General features: G+C 43.5%; 1 protein-coding gene across 3 annotated transcripts in view, besides 3 other annotated features; it reads right to left on the reverse strand.

The window, feature by feature from the left end:
* The window catches only part of RARRES1 (retinoic acid receptor responder 1), a 35,566-nt gene that overhangs the window by 4,978 nt on the left and 10,266 nt on the right, over nucleotides 1-20,322 (reverse strand). The window contains exons 2-4 of one of the 3 annotated variants that reach the window (XM_005247686.6): nucleotides 11,928-11,990; nucleotides 8,869-9,052; nucleotides 2,922-3,058 (exon numbers count right to left, since the gene is read on the reverse strand). In XM_005247686.6, the coding sequence (XP_005247743.4) occupies nucleotides 2,922-3,058; nucleotides 8,869-9,052; nucleotides 11,928-11,990 (384 nt within the window). Of the gene's footprint in view, nucleotides 1-2,781; nucleotides 3,059-8,868; nucleotides 9,065-11,927; nucleotides 11,991-20,322 lie in introns of those variants that run through there. The other 2 variants (NM_206963.2, NM_002888.4) reach the window with 2 other exon arrangements.
* Nucleotides 11,334-12,533: an enhancer, noted in NCBI's record as "CDK7 strongly-dependent group 2 enhancer chr3:158430992-158432191 (GRCh37/hg19 assembly coordinates)". NCBI's record gives its function as "activates an origin of replication core promoter dependent on BRD2, BRD4, P300/CBP, MED14 and CDK7 cofactors, with strong dependence on CDK7, by STARR-seq in HCT116 cells {active_cell/tissue: HCT116}" and the evidence as "EXISTENCE:reporter gene assay evidence [ECO:0000049][PMID:35650434]".
* Nucleotides 11,921-12,436: an enhancer, noted in NCBI's record as "H3K27ac-H3K4me1 hESC enhancer chr3:158431579-158432094 (GRCh37/hg19 assembly coordinates)". NCBI's record gives its function as "activates a minimal SCP1, AML or CMV promoter by ChIP-STARR-seq in naive H9 embryonic stem cells {active_cell/tissue: H9 hESC(naive)}" and the evidence as "EXISTENCE:reporter gene assay evidence [ECO:0000049][PMID:30033119]".
* Nucleotides 13,652-14,152: an enhancer, noted in NCBI's record as "H3K4me1 hESC enhancer chr3:158433310-158433810 (GRCh37/hg19 assembly coordinates)". NCBI's record gives its function as "activates a minimal SCP1, AML or CMV promoter by ChIP-STARR-seq in naive H9 embryonic stem cells {active_cell/tissue: H9 hESC(naive)}" and the evidence as "EXISTENCE:reporter gene assay evidence [ECO:0000049][PMID:30033119]".

A 20,322-nucleotide genomic window follows, 5' to 3' on the forward strand; every position in this document is an offset into this window, starting at 1 on the left:
GTGAGTCCTCATTTAATAGGCCCTAAGAGATGAAATGATTTGCCTTGGATGACTCAGCTGCATATTCAACTATTATTTATCTAACACCCAGACATCGCAGGGGGAAAAAAAAATCTAAAACTCTTAGTCAATGACCATTCTCCCTCTGCATTTGTTTTTGTTTGTTTTGTTTTGTTTTGTTTTTTTGAGACAGAGTCTTGCTCTGTCGCCCAGGCTGGAGTGCACTAGCACGATCTCACCTCACTGCAACCTCCGCCTCCCGGGTTCAAGCGATTCTCCTACCTCAGCCTCCCGAGTAGCTGGGACTACAGGTGCATGCCACCATGCCTGGCTAATTTTTTTGTATTTTTAGTAGAGACAGGGTTTCACAGTGTTAGCCAGTATGGTCTCCATCTCCTGACCTCATGATCCGCCTGCCTCAGCCTCCCAAAGTGCTGGGATTACAGGCATGAGCCACTGCACCCAGCCTGCATTTCTGCTTTTTAACTTTCTAGTTACTTGTATGTCCTCGCTTTCGTACGTGCAGTTTGGTTGAGAGATGTTAGTGGACAGATGATGGACATGAAAGACGGGTTAGAATGGGAGGGAAATACACCTGCTATTTTTGTACCCTAGTATGTCCTAGTGGTAAAAATGTGTCATATGCAACTGCAAAAGAAAGGGGAACATGTTAAATGTCCTAGTTTTTTCTGTTATCTCAATGTGTTGCTCTATTCCTATTAAGTTTTCCTCTCACATTTACTACAATTAGTTCTATATTATCTTGACACCATTTTCTACGCTTAAAACAACCTCTTCCCCCTAACTTTAAAATCAGGTACAGTAAAAGCCTCTTGTTGAGGATGTGGTTATCTTGGTAGATGAGAGTGTGTCAGAAACAGGTAGAAACTTACCTAGCAAAAGAACTAGTACTGTATCTTGACTTGTTATATGGCAACAATCAATTAGATGATAATTTCTATTTAAAAGCATTCTATATGGGGAAAGACATGTTCATTTTGATAAGTAAAGACAAAATCTAGGTTTTTAGTTGATGTGTGTTGTACATGTGGTCTTTGGAAAGCAAACCAAACTATGTATTATTGACATTAAAAATGATGACTTAATGCTGGGTAAATCCTGTACTCAGAAGATACTCACTGATGATCCATCCCTGGGTAAACCTATGAACAAAACGAATTTTTTAAATTGGTGCTTATGATTAGTTCAGCTTGCCTCTCTAATAATCCCAACACCTTTGCTCTCATCCTGCTCTCAGCTTATTACTTTGCCTCGTTTTTCACTGAGAAGACAGAAGCAGTTAGAATAGAGCTTCCACAAGCTCCTACTTTGATATCTGCCCTCCTAGCACTGGGGCCACTGTTTCCTGCTTTCCCTCTATGTGAACTCTCCGTGTTTCTAATATCATCTGGATTAATCACATCCTCTCTGGCCTACTCAAAGATAGTAACTCTAACAACTTTTCCCTCTCTTTCATGCAATTCCTACTTTGCCTCTCTCTGCTGGACTTTTTCTCATCGACATATAAACATGCTGTTATGTCTCCCAACCAAAAAAAATGCAAAAACCCTTTCAGCCCTATGCTCACCCATCATCCAGCTGTAGTCCTCTTCCTTCCTTTTACTCTCCTTTATTATAGCTAAATTTCTTGAAAGGATGGAATGTCCACTTCCTCTCCTCCCATCCTTTCCTGAACCTACCCCAATCTGCCTTTTGTCCCCACTGTGCCAGTGAGAGGGCTCTTGATAAGCTCTCCCTTCATTGACTTCCAGTTGCTCAATGAAATGGGCAGTTCTCAGTCCTCATCTTACTTGACTTTCCAGCAGCATTTAGTACTACCAGCCAGTCCTCATCCTTGAAATACTTTCTTTTCCCATATCTCTAACTGCTTAAGTCAGAAGTGTTCCATGATCCAGTCCTTACATAACTTACCTTCTTTGTCTACACTCATTATCTGTGATCTCATCCAGTCTTGTGGCTTTAAATACTATATGGTGACAACTACAGCCGAGACCTCTCCCCTGAACTTCAGACTCTTCTGTCCAGAAGATTATACAAATTCTCTGTTTGGTTATAGAATTTAGAATGCCCCAAATCAAGATAATTCTCCCTCAATTCTGTTCCTCCTATAAGCTTCCCCAATCGGTAAATGAAAACTGTGTCCTTCTAGTTAATCATACCAAAATCCTAAAAATCATCCTTAACTCCTCTCATCTCTGATATCCATATCCAACCCATGAGCAAATACTGTCAATCTGCCAGAATCCAAACATCTCTCCAGCCCCATTGCCACCACCCTGGTCCAAGCCACCACCAGGCCTTGCCTAGAATATTGCAATACTTTTTTTTTTTTTTTTTTTTTTTTTTTTTTTTTTGAGACAGAGATGGCATCTCACTCTGTTGCCCAGGATGGAGTACAGTAGCTCAATCATAGCTTATTACAACCTCCAACTCCTGGATCAAGCAATCCTCCCAACTCTGCGTCCCGAGTACCTGGGACTATAGGCATGTGCCACTACATCTGGCTAATTTTTAATTTTTTTGTAGAGATAGGGCCTTGCTATGCTACCCAGGCTGGTCTCAAACTCCTGACCTCAAGTGATCCTTCCACCTTGGCTACTTAATTTTTTTCATAGCATTTACCATCATATGATACATATTTATTTATTAGCTCACTGTCTCTTTTTATCTTCTCTCACTAGAATTAATCTCAATGAGGGCAGCAACATTGTGTCTTTGTTCACGACTGTATCCCCAGCCCCTGAAACAATACTTGGCCCATTGCAGGAACTCACATATTTATTGAAATAAATGTGATTACAACTCTTGATATGAAATTAGAAGTTCGCATGAATTCAGTCTAAGGAGACCACTTTGATTGTAACTCTTGTGGCACAAGTTAATTTTCAGGTTTTTCTTACCCACTGCCTCACACTAGTGAGCTGTGCCAAGTAGTAGTGTGACACCTGTGTTGTCATTTCCCACATCACGTAAGAGCTTCCAAGGAAAGCCAAATCCCAGATGAGTCTCAGAGAGGGATCAATATGTCCATGATTATCTGAGAGAGACAAAAAAAGCACATTTGTATTAATGCATTTTTGAGACAAAATCTCAGAAGTTGCAGAAATGAAATAGGGTTTAAACTTAGTCATACCAGTCATCTCTCTCACAGCAAGACCTTGAGCCATATATGTGATTTGTTTGTATCTGTTTCTATGTTAGTATGTAGATTTATATTCTTCAACTTGCCAAACTGAGTAAATCTATTATAAATCAATGGCCATTTGCTGTACTGTATACACGCAAAGTAAGAGCTATGAAGCCTACGTTGTATCAAGCCTATGTCCACAAAGTATCTTGGACCCATCTTGTCTTCTCCGAACCCACTGCCACCACCCTTCAGGCCTGAGCTGCTTCTCCCTGAGACCACAGCCACAGTCTGCTACCAAATCTCTCAGATTTCAGTCTCCTTCTTCCAACTGTCGCACACCTAGCAGCTAAAGTGACTTTTCCATACTCATTACTGAATACTCAAAGATGACATTCAATTTAACTTAGTCTTGTTAGTTAAGAAGCTTTTTTTTTTTAAGAGACAGGGTCTTGCTTTATTGCCCAGGCTAGAATGCAGTGCCACAATTACTCTTCACAGTAGCCTTGAATTCCTGGGCTCAAGTGATCCTCCTGCCATGGCCTCCCAAAGTGCTGAGATTACAGGTGAAGGCCACTGTGCTGGCCAAGAAGCATTTTTAATTAGGTTCAAAAGTCTGTCACTGATATTCTTCACCTTACCTTCTGGTTTAGGTCTACAGTCAATGTGATGGTGGTCTTTGCTTCCCAGTCTGCCAGAATATCTTTGTGCTTCTCTAATCATTGGCTTTAAAGCTAATCAATGTGTTGGCAGCATCTCTGTCACTCTTGTTTAACACGTGAAGAAATCAGGTAGATTTTTTTCTGTGGCATTGTTTTCGGACCTAAAATCTTTTAAATTTGGCAAACATCTTTCTTAAAACTTAAACAATATTAGACACTGTGAGAGGTTAGGGATACAATGACTAATAAATTATTGTTTGTGACTTTTAGGAGCTCAAATTTTATGAGGTGACTGTTCATGAACCATCATTTTATGCAGTTTTGTAGGGATACTATATTAAGGCCTAATAATAGCACAGTACATGAGGAATACTAACAAACTTATTAGGAAACTAATCCTTCTGGGTAAAGTAATCCTTAGCATAAATTCTATTCTGTATTGGTAGAACTTGGCTAGTTTATACTCAGAGGTAATTCAAACAGCATTCATTGATTTCTTGGGATCTGTGAAGGATACCAAGATGGGTCCCCACCCTCCACATGTTGACATGGTGGGGTTATAGTTGATACATTCCTTAAGAGAGGGAGGATCAGAAAGCTGAGGGACAGCAGGGAAGGGACAGGTTTCTTTGGGCTTTGGGCTGGAGAGGGTTAGGGGAAACTTCACAGAGATGAGATTTTGGCTGCGCCTTGAATTGCTGTCATTTGTGTGGGGGTCTGAGTGAGAAAGTGAGCACGTGAAGGTAGGAAGGCACCAGGCAGGGGCAGCCTCAGTGACTGTTCTTGATAGAATATACAGTATACTGGCAGCAGATTTTGAAAGGCCTTGTTTCCAGCGCTGCCAGAGTGGGTATGAACTGCAGTTGAGTAGTAAGTGTGGAAGATGACTTTGACTGCTGGGTGCGGTGGTCTCAGGGAGAAGAATCCCAGGCATGAAGGATGGTGACAGTGGATTTGGAGATGAAAAGATTAGTCCAAAATACTTTGTGAATGCAGGCTTGATAGGAAATGGCAAGTTATTAAATGTTAGTAGATTAGTTGATAATGACCAAAGTTTCTAGCCAACTCTAGGAGAATAGTAATACCATTAAATGTAGGACAGAAAGTGGGAACGTTTTGGGTGAAAACAAGTTGAGTTTGTTATTAGGTGTATTAAATACAGTGTCAAGAAAGTCATGAAGGTGGATGATGTAAAGTGCTGCAGATAGGCCGGGCATGGTGGCTCACGCCTGTAATCCCAGCACTTTGGGAGGCCAAGGGGGGTGGATCACCGGAGGTCAGGAGTTGAAGACCAGCCTGGACAACATGGTGAAACCCCATCTCTATTAAAAATATAAAAATTAGCTGGGTGTGGTGGCACACGCCTGTAATCTCAGATACTCTGGAGGCTGAAGCAGGAGAATCGCTTGAACCCAGGAGACAGACGTTGCAGTGAACCAAGATTGCACCACCACACACTGGACAGAGGGAGACTCTGTCTCAAAAAAACAAACAAACAAACAAAAAAACTACAGATAAATCAAGAAGGATAAGAAGCAAGATCTGGTTAGGGTTTTTGGTGATCTGGGTGGTCCCTTTATGTACATAGAGTAGAAGCCAAATAGGAAGAGTTGGAGGTTGAGGCAATGTGTATAGAATCTACTTTTGAAAAGTAGACAGAATAAGGAAAAAGAGGGGGTGATGGGTCTATGAAGAAACTGGTCAACAGAACTCTGATCTTGACGATCTTTATAGGACAAGAGAAGGAACTGGTTGACGGAGATTCTCAAGGTGGGAAGGATACTGATGGGGCAAAATTATGAAAGAACCAGATAAACTAGAACCAAGGGTATAAAAGGAGTCTTAGAATTAAAGAGAGGGTTGGGGAAGATGTAGCGACTTTGTGAGGTGGGAAGAAATGACAGAATCAAATGTCTCAGTCTCAGTAAAGCAGGAGGCAAGACCGTCTCCTGAAAGTGCATGAGGCTGGGATGTGGGCCTTGAAAAAATGGAAAAGCTTCAACACAGCTGTCATGTGGAGTGCAGTAAGATGTTAGAAATAAATAGCAGCATTGAAGACTCAGCACTTGGAGAAATCTTTTAGAAGAAAATACCTGTTGAGAATAAAGCAAAAGGTATTTGTTGCCCTTCATTGTCATCATATCACCCTTATGTGACATGTATAAGTTTTTTGGTTCCATAATGCTTTCCTGTTAATATCGAAGTGCCTTCATATTTGGAACTGAGGATTTCCAGTACTCTTCACTGGCTTTTCTGTGTAATTTCTTTAACCTGGTAATGTCATTTTTTCCTGTCATCATATGATAAGTAATCAATAGGGAGCTGTGACTATTTTTACAGATGTTATTGTAGAAAGTATGTTTCGGACTTCTACTTCCTGACAAGAATATCAGCATTTCACGAATGAATTTTTTTTTCCTCATTGCTATGAGCAGCTGAACCATAAGAACTTCAGAACATTATGTAATACAAGACTCTGAATTCAATATCTTGGATATAAACTTTTTTGCTTATTTTGCTTTTAAGAGGTTTCCCATCATTCCTGTCTTCATTGACTGAAAACTTCCTTGATCCAGCTCATCATCACGTGTTCTATCTTATGGTGCTGCTGTGAGTTCAGATTTGTGAGATCAAAACCCATCACCCTAGAAGATAAACCAGTTATACTAAATACCATGAATAGTAAGAACATTTGAAAGGGTAAGTGCTGGCAACAGTGCTATAGAACCACTTGGGCAGACACAACTTTAGCTGGTTATTCCCAGGTCTTCAATCTTTCCCTCTGTATGTAGTGTACTTGGATTCATTGCTAGGAAGTTTGTAAATTCATTAGAAGTGAAACTTTCACTCATAAAAAACAGACAACTTAAGGGGAAAAAACAATGTGGAGCAAGGATATTCCAAAATGGATTAGATCTTCTCACTTACCCATTGTACTACAACAGTCCAATGCCTTGGATCCATTAAATACTGAATAGGAATCTGCTGAGATTTTTTTTTTTTGAGACGGAGTTTCGCTCTGTTGCCCAGGCTGGAGTGCAGTGGCGCAATCTTGGCTCACTGCAACCTCTGACTCCCTGGTTCAAGCGCGATTCTTTTGCCTCAGCCTCCCAAGTAGCTGGGACTACAGGCGCATGCCACCATGCCTGGCTATTTTTCAGTAGAGATGGGGTTTCACCGTGTTAGCCAGGATGGTCTCGATCTCCTGACCTCGTGATCCGCCCGCCTCGGCCTCCCAAAGTGCTGGGATTGCAGGCATGAGCCACCGCGCCTGGCCCCCCTGAGATTTTAACTGGGTAAAATTTACCTTATCTAAAACCAAACCTTTTTGGTTTTAAGTAGATAATTTTACATACACAGACAAGCTATAGATAGCACCATTAAATGTCTCTGCTGAATTTACTATGACAGCAAAACTTACAAGTTTTTCGATGAAAAGTTGCCCTCTATTAAAGAAGTTTTTTGAAGTTTCACAGTAGCTACATTAAGTTAGATTATTATAGAATGGTCCCTATGGATATACAGGACTTATTAACTAAACATACAGTTAGCCTGCACTATTAAAGAGTGTCTAAAGTCTCGTGACCCTGTGGCAAATATTCAAAGAAAAGATCCAATACAATTTCTAAAATTTGTGTTTTAAGGAGTACAGATAAGCCCTATTTTCCCAACTAAAGGAAAACAATTCCTAAATAAGTGTAGATTTATAAGTATCAGTCATCAGGTCATTTATTTCAAGCAATACTCAATATAAACAAATTCTGCTACAACATGAGATTTTAATTGCTCCCCTTGATTGCTTGGCACAGGATTTGATCTGAGTTGTCAGAGAACTATCATGTGAGAATCATTCAGGGTTCAGAATTTTAGAAATGGAAGAAGCAGTATTCCACTTCGAGGTTTTTAAGGACATTTAGTCTCAGTAAATCGATGGGGAGCAGAGACATTCAGGAATGGAGACTACAGAGCCTCCAGTGTTGACATGGGTTTGCCACAGAATCTGGGCAAATGAGTGAACTGTGGGAGAGGGTGGGACCATGAATGCTGTAGCGGTCAGACATCAAGCTTAATACCCAAGAGATGACTTTCGTGGTTTTGAAAATTGGATTTGCCAGTAAATTTGCTGAGTCTCAACTGCTCTCCACACATTCTGGTGAGTGCAGGAACGCATGAGCTCTGCTTCCCTTCAGCTGAGTCACTTCAGAGGGCAGGGCTCCTTTGTTGGAGACAGCACCACTGCCCATTAACCACTGACTTGAAATGAGATAAACATGACTCCCCTGCAGCATCCCAGAGAGGGCTCATCTGGCCTTGGAGTGTAAGGCTGTGATGAGCAGAGTAGTGGCTCTGGAGGCTGTCGCCTAAAGTTTCCAAAGCCACTGCCAAAAATAGAGATGTCACCTCAGCTCCTGGACTCAACCCTGAAAACAGCACCCCTATATGCATATCCTATTTCAAAATCCTGTACCTCTTACCTGGGGGTTCAGTTCTTACTGTGCCCCTCATTCTGGGATGGAAAATGAGGAGTTTTTTTTTTTTTTTTTGGAGATGGAGTTTCATTCTTGTTGTCCAGGCTGGAGTGCAGTGGCACAGTCTCAGCTCACTGCAACCTCCGCCTCCCAGGTTCATGCCATTCTCCTTCCCCAGCCTCCTGAGTAGCTGGGACTACAGGCGCCCACCACCACGCCTGGCTAATTTTTTCTATTTTTTAGTAGAGACGGGGTTTCACCGTGTTAGCCAGGATGGTCTTGATCTCCTGACCTCGTGATCTGCCCACCTCGGCCTCCCAAAGTGCTGGGATTACAGGCATGAGCCACCGCGCCCAGCTGGAAAATGAGATGAAAGGGATACATGCTGTTGGTGGAGTTACTGTGTTGGATTAGAGATGAAGAACAGAAAGATGATACCTCTGAGTTTTGTTTAAATTATGAGGGATACCACAATATTTAGTTGAATGAAAGTGCCACTTTAGGGATAAAAACTTAAATGATCTTTCTTTTAAGGATTTAGTTATTACATACATTCCTGAATATAGAAATTCCAAATGCTGATTCATACCAGGTATGCTGACTATTTCCAAGGGGTTTTTCAGTTGCTTCATTTGCTTGTAAAGCAGGTAATCCTCTTGTTGTCTTTTCTTTTTCTCGATGAGCCGTGTACAAGTTACATTGATGGTTGGTCTGGGTTTCTGATTCTTGAAAAACACTCGAGCAGAACATTTCCCCAAACGTCCCTCACCTTCCTGAAGTAAAGACTGTGGAGTTAAACAGGATACTTTATCACCTCCCACTCACCCCAGTGCACACAAGCACACACAAGATTGAGAAGAGTTCATTGTACAAGGCAGGCAGGCTCTGGCATCAATAGATGTAGTGGGTTTTGGTTTATTGTGGGTTGTGCTCACAGCTGAATACAACAGTCCTTCTCTCTTTGCTATCATTTAAACTCTTGTCTTCTGATTGTGACTTTATAAAATGACATTGGGCATATTTCCAAAGAAATATCATTGACATCCATTGAGCACTGCTTGGCTCAAACCTTTAGAGTAGTGGCCACTTTACTCTTGAATGTGGACCAACATAATACTTAGGTGGACCTCAAAGTTACTAACTTGAACTAAAAGATGGAGCTGGCTCCTATTTACAAAAATAACAACAGCATCTTCATGCTGCCTTATGAATTAGGTCCTCTGATTCCAGTTTGAAAGATTAAGATACTGAGGTTTAAGGAGGTACCTACTCCATGTCGCACAGCTAATAAGCCAGGGCTTGACCTCACTTCTAACACCGAAGCCCAGGCTCTCTGTACTAACTTCATCTCTCTATGCCAAGATCTAATCCAGAAGAAATGGGGGCACTGATCCACTGATCATCCACATGGGATTCATTCAACTACCTGAGTGATGTTTATTTGCATTCATCTTTTTTTTTTTTTTTTTTTTTGAGATGGAGTCCTGCCTGGGTGGGAGTGCAATGGCACGATCTCGGCTTACTGCAACCTCTGCCTCCTGGGTTCACGCGATTCTCCTGCCTCAGCCTCTGAGTAGCTGGGATTACAGGTGCCCACCACCATGCCTGGCTAATTGTGTGTATTTTTAGTAGAGATGGGGTTTCACTATGTTGGCCAGACTGGTCTCGACCTCCTGACCTCGTGATCTGCCTGCCTTGGCTTCCCAAAGTGCTGGGATTACAGGCATGAGCCACCACCCCCAGCATTCATGTTTAAATGTAGATGTTTTGGATATTCTGGGATCTCCCTCACTTATTTTATAATCCAGAAACATCTGGAGCTTCAACTAGACATCAGATGTATGACTCATTTCTAGCATAGTGGTTCTTCCCCCTTTTAAGGAATTCCCCAGATTCCTTAACCAAATAAGAGAAGCCAGGGAACTTATTCCCTGAAAAATGCACAGATCAGCACTGGGCCTAGAATTTGAGGAAGTTCATGGGCCACTAGTCTTGGCCCTGCCCAAATCCAACTCTCGTTGGCTGGTTGCATAGTTGAGGTGATAATCTTCTTTTTACTTTTGTGGTTGTTTAAACTGGGTGAAGTCCCAGTGAAAACAACTACCAAAAATGAAAAAAGTCCATGAGGAAACAAATTGTAATCAAAATTCTCTCTGCGCTTGAGCCCAGGAAGTCAAGGTTGCAGTGAGCCATGATCATCGCACTTCCCTCCAGCCAGGAGAGCAAGACCCTGCCTCAAAAAGAATAAATAAATAAAAATTAAAAATAAAAAAATTGGATCTGCTTAATAAGCCTATTTCTAAAACTACCTCAAAAAACTGAGAAACACTTTCCAGTAGGCAATTTTTCCTCCTGTGAGTGCTGGTTTTGAGTGAGAGGGAATTTCAGTACTGCTTTAAGATGTTAATTATTGGTGCAACATAGAAAAAAGGTGAAGGAAGCATTCAGGAAGAGGCTTATGAAAGGGCAGAAGGAACCTAGTACATGGCCTCCTCTGTTGTCAAAGTCATTTCCAGAGAAGAGAAAAAGAACCAGGTACTGCCCCCTTTCATTTTCCTTTTCATTTCCCCCTCAAAACATCTCCATGGAATCAAAGCCGTTGCCTGAGGATAAAAGAACTGCTCTTCACCCCCTGAAATGGAAGGTTTCAATTAGCTCACTCTGTTCTTAATGCATCTACAGGATCAAATCCAGGGAAGCATATTGTTGGTGAAAATAATCTAGTAATTGTATTCCCTCTAGCTTAACACTTTCAGTTTGCAACACTAACAATCAAAGGCATCTTTCGTACACTTTAAGGAAATTTTAATTCATAGGTTAATAAGCAAAGAGCATACTGCTGTCATGTTGGATACTTGTTGGAACTTGAGTACTGGTGAGCATTCTTCCAGAAGCATGGGGTTGGGGGAGTCATGCCTTCAACTCCCGAAACTCTGCCACCCTGGAACACTTTAATCCTGGATGCTGCCTGCTCCAGGCTGCTTCTCAGCACAAGACAAAGAGCATTTGAGCTGGTCTCCTCTCCGCCCATGCTCTGATTGCCGCCTTTCAGCTTGGCCTAGCACAAGGAAGTTCATCTGGCTCTAATTTCTATACGAGTTTTCTCTTTACTCTCTTCTTGAAAACAGGGAACAGGAAACTTGGCAAAACATGGTCCGCTTGGTCAAAGCTGTAGTGAGGCTGATAACGGCTGGAGCACGTGCTCGTGTTTTACAGAGTGCCTCTGTGTACGTTAGCTCATGGGGTTGGTCTCACGCTGTGCTGGCCTGCTAACCAGAAATGTCACCCTCTGACAGGAAGAGAGTAAGTTGGCATTTGAAAGTGAGTCATTCTGAGGACTCTGAGGAGCTAGGAGGGATACCAGAGGGAGCTGTGAAATTCTCTCCCAGGGGTCCCAAGGAAGAGGGAGGTGATCGCTTATATGGATTGTTTTAAATGCAACCCTGCGTTAAGACCATGAAGTTGAAGTAGTTAAATATTGAGCTCTTGCCTAGTTCTGTTCTTTAGTTCTTGATAACAAATAGGAAACAGATCAGGAAAAAACAAAAGCAAACCTCCAGATCACTATATATTAAGATTCTCACTTTTTTACAAAGCCATATTTATAGCAGTTGCTAATAGGATACTTTGCCAATTGTGGCAGCTTACCTCTGGGTTGTAGCGCTCTGTGCTGAAGACCACGTGAACTTTACATCCCTCTTTTGGATTAATCTGGAACACAGAAACTGAATCTTAGTATAGTAGAAGCTCCCTTAAACATCCTCATATCCAGGAATCACACTCTTAGGATAACATGGCATGCAAATGGTGGCTGTAGCATTTATACCTGAATAAAATTGGTGATGGCTTAGAAGAAAGATCTCAAATTTTGTTCTGATTGTGCCATTCTGCTTGCTAGTTTGACACCTACTCACAAAGAGGGAGACTGAGAAAGGGAAATGGTTGCGTTCTGACTGGAGTGACTTTGTGAGAGCAGCTAAAGGAGAAAAGAACAGGAGTGTGCAGGGAGCTGGAGGGAATTCCTTCATCCCCAACTCCTCAGTGCCTGCTCCACGCCCTGTCCTGGGGCCACATCAGCGAGCAGGACTGACGAGGACTTGCCCTCCTGCCACCCATAGCCCAATGGGGGATGCTGGCAACAAACGCACAACAAGTAATAATTATGCTTTCAGGGGCTGATGAATGAAGAAAGACAGTGGTGGTGTAGGAAGGTGCTTGCTTGGCACGAGGCGATCTCAAAGATGAGACCAGCAGGACAGGAAGGAAGCAGCCATCCCAGATCTAGGTGGGGGACACCCGGTACAGGCAGAGGGGACCCACAAGCACAGGCGTGAGGTGGAACTTCAGTCTGCAACAGGATGAATCACCAACACTGAAGAAGTCTTCCAATGCTATGCTCTTTCTTTCGTTTGCAGTTTTTATAGGCAAGCATACTTTTAAACTTCAGAAATGTTAATGTTTAGCCTTTAAAACTGTTGAATTGATTTCAATGCATATTTTAGAATATACATATCTATGTCATTGCAATTTAAACTGTTTAGAAGAAGTTCTTATTGTTTGCCATCTTTTTTTTAAGAGAGCAAAATGATAAATCAGTAAAAGAAATATTTCCTAGAGAGGAAAGGGAACTTGCTGTTGTATAGAGCTGAAGTTATTTCACATAGCATTGATTAAGGTTGGACTCTGGAAACACCAGTTTCCTTTGCATCTTAGCGTAGCAATTCAATAAACAAACAGCATTATTTTATTTTAAATAGACCAGATAGCATCCATTCCTATTATAGATTCTTAAAAAATGCTGGGAAACTGGAGAAGGGAAGGAAAGGATTCCTTGGTGGTTATTTATGTAGGGAATATTTAAGCTTGTACATGTACAGATGTTGCTGGGGAAGGAGAGAGAATTCCCGAGAGCACTGCACACAGAGCAGTTTGCTGAGGGCTCATCGTCAGTCTTCAAACGAGTTCTGTTGTAAGCTGAGGCACTAATTTTGGTTTACACAACGCACACACACAAGTCTGTCTATTCACTCATTCGCTGTTAATCACCTACTATGCCAGGCCTTGGGGAGATATAAAGAAATATGATGTCCAGCCCGGCCTTTCCAGAAACCTGCTTCTATCTTGGAAACAGTTTTGTAGTGTAGCTGATCAGTGTGGCAGATCGCAGCCTGCGGGAGGCTTTCTAGAGTGGGTGAGGCCTAAACTAACTCTTTGAGGAGCCAGTGTTAGACAAAGGTGTGGGAGTGGGATGTAGGGGTTGGAATTCCAGGGGACAGTGAAGCTGGAGAAAAGGTGTCTGGGGAGGTGGGTGCAAGGGCATGGAAAGCCTCACTTTTTTGAGATGACTTGGAACTTGATCCCAAAGTCTGGAAGAGTAACATTAAACATATCCACAATACACAGGGCGTTGTGAACAGTAGGATAAGGCATAAACAGGGTTTAGGACAGTGCCTGGGTCAGCATAAAATTCAATGTCTGTTTACTATTTTTATTATTACTAAAATCTATAGGCATGAGAAAGCAGAAGAACTGGGCTAAACACAAGAGACTGACCCAAGTTCAAGGATAGGGGATGTTATATAACATGGTCTCCCATCAGGGTTACTCCTGAAACACCCAATGAGTAGTGGAAGGATATAAATGAGACATGCCTGACAGTGGCTGGACAAGGCTCCCATGACCTCTTATCTCAAAGATTCCTGAAGTTCAGCATCCTTAGTACCTGCCAATGTGGGAGGAACACAGGGCTGTGGCTTGCTGCCTCTCACACTCCCAGCCACATGGGCACCCGCAAACAACTAACACTCAGAAGGCGACACTTCAGCTTGCCAGTGGGTTCTAAGCCTTGAATGGGTCGCTGCACCCCGCACCTGCTATGTGCACCGCAGCACCTGGGAGTCTGCCTGTCCTGTTGAGTAGGGGCTTCCTGGGTACAGCCTCCTGCAGAGGAGTCAGCGACACCCTCAGGTTTCTAGCTGTGAGGTGGGCAGGGGTGGGTGCGGAGGCCATTCATGAGATGAGGAAGAAGCTGAGTTGGGAGGGTTCATTCTCTGGCACATGGGGAAATTTGAGATGTCTCGGAAAATGCTGAGGGTTATAGAAGTAGGATCAGCAGAGGTAGTGGTGAAAGCCATAGAATTTGATGTAGTCCCCCAGGGAAGATGTGTAGAATAAGAATCCTGAGGAACATCAGCCTTCACGCCAGTGATACATTCGGGCATGGTTATATGCTATGCAAAAAGATTCACTAAAGTCTTCCTTATTCTTGATATAATTGTGCATATTTTAAATACAGGACTTAAGATATGATTTGACGCAACAGTGCTCTGGAAACACATGGAGGCAAAGTGAGAAGGGCTCTGAGCTGGTGTGGAGTCTGTCCTTTTAAAGAGTTATTTTCTTTGCTGATTTGATTTATTTTGTTTTAAGGAAGCACTCTTTTTTTTTTTTTTGGAGGCAGAGTCTTGTTCTGTCACCCAGGCTGGAGTGCAGTGGCACGATCTCGGCTCACTGCAACCTCCGCCTCCTGGGTTCAAGCAATTCTCCTGCCTCAGCCTGCTGCATAGCTGAGACTACAGGTGCACGCTGCCACACCTGGCTAATTTTTTGTATTTTAGTAGAGACAGGTTTTCACCGTGTTGCCCAGGCTGGTTTCGAACTCCTCAGCTCAGGCAATCCGCCTGCCTCGGCCTCCCAAAGTGCTAGGATTATAGGCGTGACTCACTGCGCCTGGTTAACAAGCACTCTTAAAAGTGTCCACATTTCATCCAAAATAAAATGTTTATATTTTTGGTTGTACTTTATCATGTATCAAGACACAGTGCTTTTATCTCTCACAAAGGCCTCTCCCTTCTCCCTTCCTCTGAGTCACAAGAGCCCCGTGCTGTTTTGCTCTGGTGAGATGAGCCGCACAGCCACAGGCCTGTGTGTGGAGTGGGCGGGAGCCAGGCCACCTTCCTCTGGATGCAGTGTCTGCACTTGCTCTCCAGTGGTTTTAGGACTGTGTTGAACTTTGGCTGTCCTTGATTTAAAATGTTCTGTGATAAAGGGGTCGTTGATGTTCAACAACATCACTCCATGATTTCAGCTCCTACCTTATTCCAAGTACTGTGCTGGGTGCAGGAAAGACAGAGCAAAACAGCAGCAGCCACTCTCCGGGCAGTCTAGCGGGAGAGGGCCTTAAATAGAGCATTGTAGGATTGATTATTTGATTGTGGCTGACTTAAGAGCTATGAGAGGATGGCTAGAGAATTGGTCTAGTCTAGGGATCAGGGAAGCGACATTTGAGCTGAACTCTGAAGATGAAGAAGGAATTGGTCTTGGTGTGGGGAGGAGAGCTGGCAAGGGCCTGAGGAGCAGCCATGGGGCCCCAGGGCAGAAAGACTGGAGCTGGAGCTGGGACCCGGTAAGAGGCTGACTGGGTGGCAAGGGCCACACCTGCAGGCTACAAAGAGGATTTTGTCCTGAGAGAAATGGAAAGCCAGGGACCAGAAGGAGGGATTTTGAAAAGATCCCTCTAGCTGGAGTGTGGAGAATGATGCTGGAGTGAGGAGTTGTGCAGAGTTAATGTAGACAGAGCAGGAGGCTGGCTGAGGGGGCGGGGAGAGGGAGCAGGGCTTGGAGCCAAGGTGAGGACAGTGGAAATGGAGAGAAGCATATGGTGGACCAAGTATGCCAGGTTGCCCCCCAGCCAGGCTGCGGCAGGCCACCCTCCCACCAGCCATGTGAGAGCAGTCATAAACCACCAAACCCCAAGTCCTATCAGAAAGTAAAAAATAAGCAGGTAATTCAAGATCAGAAATCATCACTAGAATACATTTTATATTAAGACAATTTTTTTTTTTTTTTGAGACAGAGTCTTGCTCTGTCGCCCAGGCTGGAGCACAGTTGCATGATCTCAGCTCACTGCAACCTCCGCCTCCTGGGTTCAAGAAATTCTCCTGCCTCAGTCTCCCGAGTAGCTGGGACTACAGGCACATGCCACCAGGCCCAGCTAATTTTTTGTATTTTTAGTAGAGATGGAGTTTCACCATGTTAGCCAGGATGGTCTTGATCTCCTGACCTCATGATCCACCCGCCTCGGCCTCCCAAAGTGCTGGGATTACAGGTGTGAGCCACTGTGCCTGGCCTTAAAACAACATTTTTAACATTGTGTCATTTAAAAGATGCTTGTGTGTACAGAATAATGCAAGTAGCCCAATAATTGGGCCAATTGCCTGGTACTGTTCTAAGCACCCTACATGTATTAAGTATGCTAACAAAGCTCTGAAGGCCTACTCAAACTCATTAGTAATTACAGAAATACAAAAATGCAAATTAAATAAGCAATGAGTTAATACAGTACCACTAGTAGACTGGCAATCAAGAAAGTGGACAGGGCCCATTGCTGGGTGGGGTTTGGGGCTTTACGACTGCAGTCTGGCATATGCAATCTGGCGTATGTGGTCAAATCAAGCTTATGTGTGAATGCCCTATGACCTAGAAATACCACTCTGGGCATGCATCCCAGAGAAATAGTGATGGAGGTCTGTGAAGAAACTGACTCATATAAGGATGTTCCCTGAGGCACCCTGTGGGGAGGTGGGGCTTTAGAGGCACTCACCTTATAAAGACCTCTGGTCTTGCCCAGGGATGCTCCCTCTGGGACTTACACAGCAGGTTGCTACAGCCACATGGTGTAAAGCTAATCCATTAAATTCAAAGCCGTGAAAAAAGTAAGTAGACTTTTTTGAAACAGCCAAATCTGACACGAGGAAAGGTGACCAACAATTCTAGCTTTCCTGAGGAAAGAAGGATTCCTGTAATATAGATTACAGTGATTTCATTCCTTTCCCCAACACACTGCCAGAACTGCCCATCTGTGAAACAGATCAGGAAACTTGACATCCCTTTCTTTAAACACAGTCAAAGGCAGAGCACATTGTTCCAATATTTTTCCGAAAAGGGCTATTTAATAAGAAAAAGCAAGCAAATGACCATATGACTGTATAACCTGAAGGAATAAATTAGTAGCTCTTCACTGTAGATTTTTAAAAAATTATGTATAAAAGACTTGTGTACTACAGCCTGGAACTAAATTCTTCATAATCATGGGCCACTAATAACATGGTTTATGCTCTAATTTTTTTTTTTTTTTTTTTTGAGACAGAGTCTCACTCTGTCACCCAGGCTGGAGTGCAATGGTGCAATCTCAGCTCACTGCACCCTCCACCTCCCGGGTTCAAGCGATTGTCCTGCCTCAGCCTCCCGAGTAGCTGGGATTACAGGCTTTTGCCACCACACCCGGCTAATTTTTGTATTTTTATCAGAGATGGGATTTTACCATGTTGGCCAGGCTGGTCTCAAACTCCTGACCTCAGGTGATCCACCTGTCTTGGCCTCCCAAAGTGTTGGGATTACAGGCTTGAGCCACTGCACCCGGCCCTTACTTTTTGTGTGTTTATTTTATAGATGATTTTTGGCCCCACTGGACAGTGAAAAGAGGCAGTCCCATCCCCTTCCCCATATACCTTCCACCTCCCCTTCCTCATATGCCATACCATCATGTACTCTTTAGTGACTGATCAGCACTTTGATTTTGGTTTGATTTGCAATCAGTTTGGAGGGAAACAGGCCACTTTCAAAGACCTGTTCGAGAGAATGTACAATGGAATGCTTTCAAAGACCTGAACTCATCACACTAGATTTTATTTATTTATGTTTTGGTAAATGATCCTCAAATCCTTAGCAAATCAATATTAAGCATTCATTCAGTGCTTACATATGAAGCATCATTGGAGGGAATCATGATAAAAGTGATTACGTGTTGTACTCTTACTGTGTGCCTCACCCGACCCAACATAGTACCCATGTACTAACCTATTATATCACTAAAGCCCTTTAGTAGGTATGATTGTTATCACCATTTTAAGGATGAAGAAATGGAGGCACTTGACCAAACTTAAGGAATTGGCCAAAGTCACAACACAGGAAGCAGGAAAACTGGCCTGCAGAGCCCCGTTTTTCCCAAATACCGCACAGGACTGCACAGAAAAATAGAGCCCAGCAACCTCTCTAAGAAAAGGAAGAATAAAAGCTGGCTGCTGGTGTGTGTGTGTGTGTGTGTGTGTGTGTGTGTATGTGTGTGAGAGAGAGAGAGAGAGAGAGAGAGCGCTGGGATGCTCTTGGACTGCTTGTAACCAAGGTCCCTGTGGACAAGAACCACTGCAAACCTTCCTCTGGAAGGGAGACTGCCAGGCATGATGTATGTATTAGTGTGCTAGGGCTCCCGTAACAAAGTACCACAAACTAGGTGGCTTACAACAACAGATATTTATTCTCATACAGTTCTGGAGGCCAGAAGGCCAATCTAAAGGTGTCAGCAGGGCCATGCTTCCTCTGAGACTCTGGGTAGAATCCCTCCTTGCCTCTTCCTAGTTTTAGGTGGTGGCTGTCGATCTTGGCATTCTTTAGTTTACAACTGAATCACTCCAATCTGTGCCTCTATTATTGTTTGTTTGTTTTTGAGATGGGTCTTGCTCTTTTCACCCAGGCTGGAGTGCAGTGGTGCAATCATAGCTCACTGCAGCCTCAAACTCCTGGGCTCAAGGGATTCTCCGGGCCGCCTTTATCTTTAAATGGTGGTCTTCCTCTGAGTCTGTTTGCATATCCACATGGCCTTAATATTATATAAGGACACCAGCCATTGGATTTAGGGCCCATTCTAATCCAGTATGACCTCATCTTAACTTGATTACATCTTCAAAGACTCTGTTTACACTTAAGGTCACATTCTTAGTCACTGAGGGTTAGAACTTTTTGGATATAACATTTCTTTTTAGAAGACACACCTCAACCCGTAACAGATGGAAGTAAAGGTGATCCAAGACTTTAGAAGGAGCCCCTGGATGCAGACCCTTTCAGACAAGGTATAAATGAAAGTATAACCCAGTGCAGGTGGGGACATCTCCAGGAAGGACTAGGATTAGACAAGCCGAGAGAGGGAGAGGGTGCTCTGGAAAGGTAGTGTGTGTGCCAGGGCATGGAAGCGAGCAGACCAGCCTGGGGCAGTTAGCAGATTAAGTCAGGGTAGACTTGGGGTTGAGGTTACAATGGTGGGTGGGGGATCTGATTAGAGATGGTCTCTTACAGGGACTTCATTCTAGAGCAGTGAGTCTCAAATCTGAGTGTGCCATGTAATCCCCTACAGGGCTTGCTAAGACCCAGCATGCTGGATCTACACCGACTTTTGATTCAGGAGGTCTGGGGTGGGGCCTGGGAACTTGCATTTTAACAAGTTCCACATGATGCTGATCCTGTTGGTCCAGGGACCACACTTGGAGAACTCTCTAGCTACTGAGTGGAACCACTGAAGGTCTAAGGGTTGCAGGTAGGAAGTGACATGTAGATCAGATGACAATCACTAGGATACAGCTGACCACTAAATAGGAGATTGACGCCGAGACTATTCTCTTCAAATGCCTGAGAGTATCATCAGGACCAAATGAAATGGAGGAGTGTTCTTTCAAAGTGTGGTGACTTCAGGACCCTGGAGTTTCTGGTGAATCAGGTTATGATACCTTAGAAAGTGCATGTGGCAGGTCTACCCTCTGCTTCTGCAGGTGCAACTGATAAACTCCATGGTGACACAGTATGTGCTATTCTTTGAGAAGGAACACTTGGGCTGGGCATGGTGGCTCATGCCTGTAATCCCAGCACTTTGGGAGGCCGAGGTGGGGCAGATCACCTGAGGTCGAGTGTTCGAGACCAGCCTGACCAACATGGAGAAACCCCATCTCTACTAAAAATACGAAATTAGCTGGGCGTGGTGGCGCACACCTGTAATTCCAGCTACTCGGGAGGCTGAGGCAGAAGAATCACTTGAATCCAGGAGGTGGAGTTTGCGGGTGAGCCGAGATGGCATAATTGCACTCCAGCCTGGGCAACAAGAATGAAACTCAAAAAAAAAAAAAAAAAAAAGAGTATCCAGAAGGAACACGAAGAAGGCAGTTTGGACTAAAATAATTTTTAAAGAAAATTCCCTCCTTGCTTCCTGTTAGATGGA

The sequence above is a fragment of the Homo sapiens genome, chromosome 3 (genome assembly GCF_000001405.40).
Source record: "Homo sapiens chromosome 3, GRCh38.p14 Primary Assembly".
Lineage (NCBI taxonomy): Eukaryota > Metazoa > Chordata > Mammalia > Primates > Hominidae > Homo > Homo sapiens.